Consider the following 6,000-nt stretch of genomic DNA (forward strand, 5'->3'; position numbering starts at 1 on the left):
TAGCCTGGCATTGTTTCTCAGACTTCTGGGCACCCTGGTCCCAAGACCATCTCCTGCAAATACAGTGGAGCTGAACTGTGAATCCATATTAACTGAGGAGCTCTACCTGGACCAATTAAATCAGAAAATCTGGATATGGGCCCTAGGCATCAGTATATATTTTTCTTTCCCCAGGTGATTTTAATATGCAGCTAGGATTGAGGCTCCTTGCCCTTGGATAGGTCCTGTCCCACCACCAGGCCATGGGGTAGAGTAGGGGTGGGTGTGTGGGGGGACAATGTCAGCATAGGTCCCAAAGCTGGAATTATTCAGTCTAGACCGGAGTTTGCACATTGAAAGCCCACCCACAGGCTGGATCCAGCCAGCAGATGTGTTTTGTTTGGCCCGCATGGGGTTTTAAAAAAATGAATTACTTGCCAACATTTATTAATGAGAAATATATTGCAGAAAAATCTGGATATCTGGCTTCTTTTGGAAAATAGGAATATCTGACTATTCTTGGTCTGAATTTCTGTGTGACAACAATTGGCTGGAGGGAAGGAGCCACAAGCCCTTTAAGTACAGCCTGTGCTCTTGGGTTCACCATAGCCCTCACCACTCTCTATTATCTCACACCAGTCCCACCCCACTCATTTACCTCCCTGACCCATGTAGCTCTACCTAATGGGGCACAGGGAAAGAGAGGAAGCCTTGTTTCCCTTTGTAATACCCTCCCCATGAAGTGCAATCCAAGGACTGACATCCACAGGATAAGAATGGAGATAAACACAAGAGATTAATGAGAATTACAGAACAGAACTATTTTTCTATATACAACTGAAACAGGAGAGTTCCCTGATTCCCCTCACAGGACATGCAACAAGGGTGTGGCTCAGCTGTTACCCCAACGGCTCAAACCCCTAGCGGAAACATGAGGATGGGCAGGTACAGAGGCTGGGGTGAGTGCTTTGGTCTCTCAGCTCTGTGGTATTGTCTAGGGGTGGGTGGGTGCCTGCACTCCAGTGTTACCAAGCTCTTTCAGCTTTGCCATCTGTAGACAGCTTGTGTGTTAATCAGCTCGATGGACCCTCTGCCTTACCGCAAGGGCAGAGGGCCAGTGTGACAGGCTTCTGTATCCTGAGCTCTTGCCCAGTGTCCCAAAAGAATCGGATCATATGTGGGCTAGAAGGATTAGTGCAAGGTTTTATTGAGTGATGGAGGTGGCTCTCAGTGAGATGGATGGGGAGCCAGAAGGGGGATGGAGTGGGAAGGCGGTCTTCCCCTGGAGTTTGGCCGCCCAGCAGCTGGACTACTCTCCTACTGTCCCCGGCCACACTCCCCTCAGCGTCCAGAAGTCCCTCTTCTCTCTCTGCTGTGTCATTCCTCTCTTTCTCTCTCTCATCGTTCTGCTGTTGCTGGTCTGTTGGTCTGCTGGTCTGCAGGTCTGCTCTGGAGCGTAGAGTTTGGGATTTATATGTGGGCAGGATAGGGGGTGTGGGGGGCCAAAAGGTAGCTTTTTGGGCACAAAACCAGAAATGCCTGTTCTCATTTAGGGCTATGGATATTCAGGCTTGAGGGTGGGGCCTTTGCCAGGGAACCACCCTCTTGTACCCAGTATTTCCCTGCCTGTTGTCCATATCCCAACTTAATCTGCCCAGGGCTCTGCCTACAATGGAGAATACTTAATATTGTCATCACAGAGTAGGATTGATTTGAGGCCCAACCCATTTCTATCCTTACCTCCACCTCCGTTCTTGCTCAACCTCAGGTTTGAGCTTGCATAGGAAAAAATCCCACCCCACACCCTTAGAGTATCTACCCACTCAATGATAGACAGTTACCGTTTATCAGTGCCTTAGGCTAGGTCAGGTTGCCAGACCAGATGGTCCCACACCTGTCTTCCTGGACCAGTATTTCTCAATGTGTGACTTCCACACCTCCTGGCAGATTTCTGTGTCCCACTCCAGATTTACTGAATCTAGATACCTAGAGGTGGGACCAGGCATCCACATTTAATGTGCCCAGTGAGTGTTCTGCTCAATAATAGCAATAGCAGCTGCACTTACTATGTGCTTTACATGTATTGCATCTTCACAAAATCCTTGAGTTGGGTAGTAGCAGCGCCACTTTGCAGGTGAGGAAAACTGCAGCACAGAGAAGTTGAATAACTTGCCCAAGTTCACACCGCTGTAAGTAGCAGAGCTGAGATGAGGCTCATCTGTTCTAGTTGGTAAACCTCTGCTCTAAGCAATAGGGTGGCAAGTGATGAATTCGTGAGCCCCCAGGCCAAGTCGTTCAAGGAAGATGGGGTAGAGTTTGTCAATTACAATGATAAAACATAGGCCTTGCTTTCTGTTACTAGAAATTATTTTGAGGTAGAGACTAGACAAAAGCATCTTACCCATAACATATGGTAGCATATGATGAGATGACAAAAAATATCCTGTGTCCCATAGGATCTGCTCTCTGCTTGTCTCTCAGACTTTAATTCCATCTTCCGTCTTTAATTCCAGCCTCTCTGCTGTCCTCCTGGTCCTTGTGCTGGGACTTAGCATGTGTTGTTCCCTCTATCTGAATTGATGGTGGGTGGGATCTGGTTGGGGGTCGTCATTTGCCACACTCTGCCTTGGATCTCACAGACAGCTCTTTCTTGTGCCTCCAGCTCTGCTCAGCTCGGCTCTTGGCTTCTCAGAGAGGCCTTTCCTGACTTCCCTGGCTAAAGTTGCCTCTTTCCTCCTCCTAGTCATCTCTTTCTCATCAGCTTAAAAAATGAATAGCGCTTATTATCTTAAGAGTTTCATATTCATACTTAGTTTCTTTGCATAGAGTGGGTCTTCCTGTGCTAGAATATAAGTTCCACAAGAGCAAGGAGGTTGTCTGTGCTGCTCTTTGCTCTTTCTTCCATGTCTAAACGGTAAATGGCACATCGTAGGGTGAGTAATTGAGTAAATGACTAGGCAAAGCTCTCCCATCTCCTGTAGTACAACTCACATTTCCTTACAATGCTAAGTTAAGGGACTACAAAGATAAAATATTACCCAACTACTGCCCACAGGAATTTTAAGTTGTAGGAAAAACACAAAACAAAGCCTGATTTCTCTTTTCTAGAATAGAATAGTTTCCTGTGTACAAAGGACATGAATAGGATATGAATTAGGATGGTGACAGGTGAATAATGTACATAATTCTTGGAGTTAGGCACTCTTTTTTTTTTTTTCAATGGAAGAAAAGAGCAGATTCATTGAAAGGAAAATACATTCCACATAGTGGGAGTGGGCTCAAGCAAGTGACTCAACAGCTTTTAGGCATACTCATTACTCAGAAAGTGAAATGTTCATCTTGGACAAAACTAAAGGTTTCTACATTTCCTTATGAAAAGCTTAAACAATCATTTTGAGACAGGGTCTTGCTCCATCACCCAGACTGGAATACAGTGGTGTGGTTATGGCTCACTACTGCCTCGACCTCCCATGCTCAAGCATTTCTCCCACCACAGCCTCTTGAGTAGCTGGGACTACAGGTGCATACCACCATGCCCAGCTACTTTTAGTATTTTGTTTTTTTGTAGAGACAGGGCTTCACTATGTTTCCCAGGCTGGTCTCGAACTCCTGGCCTCAAGCATTCCTCCCTCCTCTGTCTCCCATTGTATTGGGATTACAGGCGTGAGCCATTGCACCCGGCCATGAATTCTTTCTTATGTAAATAAATAAGACATTAAAACAGTTGTTAAATTTTGCCTAGTCAGAGTACGAAGAAAACAGTCTCCTTATACACTGGCACTAGCATGTACATGAGAGAACAAACTTAGGCTGTTAAAACTTTTGTGAGCAGGAGCCATGGGGGCCCCACGACGACCGGAGAAGCTTCTTCCAAGGCCCCCAGGGTCAGCCAAGCAGCACAGATGGGGCAAACCCTATGATGTTCATCTATCTGCTAGAAGTTTTCCTTAAACCATACTGAAAAGAGCAGCTCTCCGTTTCATTCCCACCGAGGACTTTTAAGAGGGGACTGTATTGGCCTATCTTCATATTGCTATGAAGAAATACCTGAGACTAGGTAATTTATAAAGGAAAGAGGTTTAATGGACTTACAGTTCCACATGGCTGGGGAGGCCTCACAGTCATGGCAGGAGGTGGAGGACGAAAGGCACGTCTTACACAGCGGCAGGCAAGACAGCGTGTGCAGTTTTCCATTATCACTGAAATCTGCCCTTTATAAAACCATCAGATCTCATGAGACTTATTCACTATCACGAGAACAGCATGGGAAAAACCCGCCCCCATGATTCAATTATCTCTACCTGATCCCTCCACGACACGTGGGGATTATGGCAACTCGAATTCAAGATGAGATTTGGGTGGGGACACAGCCAAACCATATCAGGGACTTCATCCCAATTGCAGATGGAATGTGGAATGGGAGTGGGAGTGGATGTCAGCATTTTAGGGAGTGCAGCTCTGACATATGACTGACTCCCCAAATGTCCACTGGGTCCCAGGTGGTGTTCGTCCCATGTGGACTTTACTACATGAACTCTCAGGCTGAAGGGAGTTTTGTTTAAAAAAAAAAATGACAGCAATGGTGCTGCCTAAGAGGCCTGTCACCTGAGGCCTGATGATGAATGCTGTGTCCTCTGCAATTCTATTTCAGCCAGCGAAGTCCCAAAGGGTGCCTTGAGAATTAAGGTGAAAGCAGCAATGTCTAAGTGTAGGATTCCAAAGTGAAGATCTGCTTGTTTCTCTGGCAGACAGCCCTGTTTTCCTTAATGCATTAACAATGCTTCTCTTATTACATTAATTATAAGTTGTTAAAATGACTCAAGGATCACGTTCTTGTTCCCCAGCACCCGGAGCTTTAATTGAGCTTTGATACACACTCACGCCATACAAAGTGACAGGCAGGCGGGCAGGGGGCACAGTGGAGGGGAGTACAAAGATGAAGACAGGAGGGTATCCCCATGCTGGGGCTCCCAATTGATCAGGAGGATGTGTGTGTTGGACAACGTATTTAGATACTAAGATACTGAGAAGGTGGGATTTTAAAATTTAAGTTTTTCCATTATCACTGAAAAAATACCAAGTAAGCTGCTCTTTCTGGCTACCAATGGTTACCACTCATTGCGCGCATAATTTGTGTCTTACCTAATTTAATTCTTAGAGGCAACCAGTGAAGTGGGTTCTATTATTGCCCTGTCTCATGGATGAGGCAACCAAGCATCAGAGATGTTAAAAGAAGCATGTGCCGGTTCATACAGCTGGTAAGTAGATAAGCTGGGAAACAGTTTGGAGCCTATTTAAAATCCATACACCTGGCCACTAAGCCCCTTCTGATGAAGCCCTTCTGGTCTGATTGACCCTTAGGTACAGGATGTGATTAGATCACTCTCTGTGATTAGAAGGGCCCTCCTATCCCTACTACCTCACATGCTTTGCTTCTGAGAGCTGTGATTTTACTATTAGAGATTCATTTCTTTGGGGGGAAATCTAGATCTCTTGGTAAATTACAAGTGCCCCTTCAGATGACTAACACATTATGCCTTCATCATTTATAAACTGCTCACTGTCATATTGTAAAGAGGGACCATGGAAAGGATGGTCCAGGAGGTTGGCATAGTTTAGACAGTGGTCCTCAGAGGAGTCCCTTGTGAAGCTTGCAGTTTGGGGGTCCTGGTACATCTGGCTGTAGGGCAGCGGAGCATGGACAGAGGAGATGGGCCTTCCTCTTCTCCACAATTTGGCTTCAGACCACCACTGATATGTGACCTCTTCTTGGGCACCTGGCTATGATACATGTCCCTGCCTCCCTTGGAACAGGTGTGGTCGCACTGAGTTCAGGCTGGTGAACTATGAGTAGAGGTGAAATGAGTCAAGAAAGAGAAGTAGGGATCCCTAAGTAGCCACTGCATGGAAACCCCACCCCTCCCCCACCCCACCCTCATCATGAACTATGATCTGAGTGAGGAGTAGACTTGGTGCACAAAGCCTCTGAATTGTGGGGAGTGTTTATTATGGCAGTAGTTA

This window comes from Homo sapiens, chromosome 3 (genome assembly GCF_000001405.40).
Source record: "Homo sapiens chromosome 3, GRCh38.p14 Primary Assembly".
Classification (NCBI taxonomy): domain Eukaryota; kingdom Metazoa; phylum Chordata; class Mammalia; order Primates; family Hominidae; genus Homo; species Homo sapiens.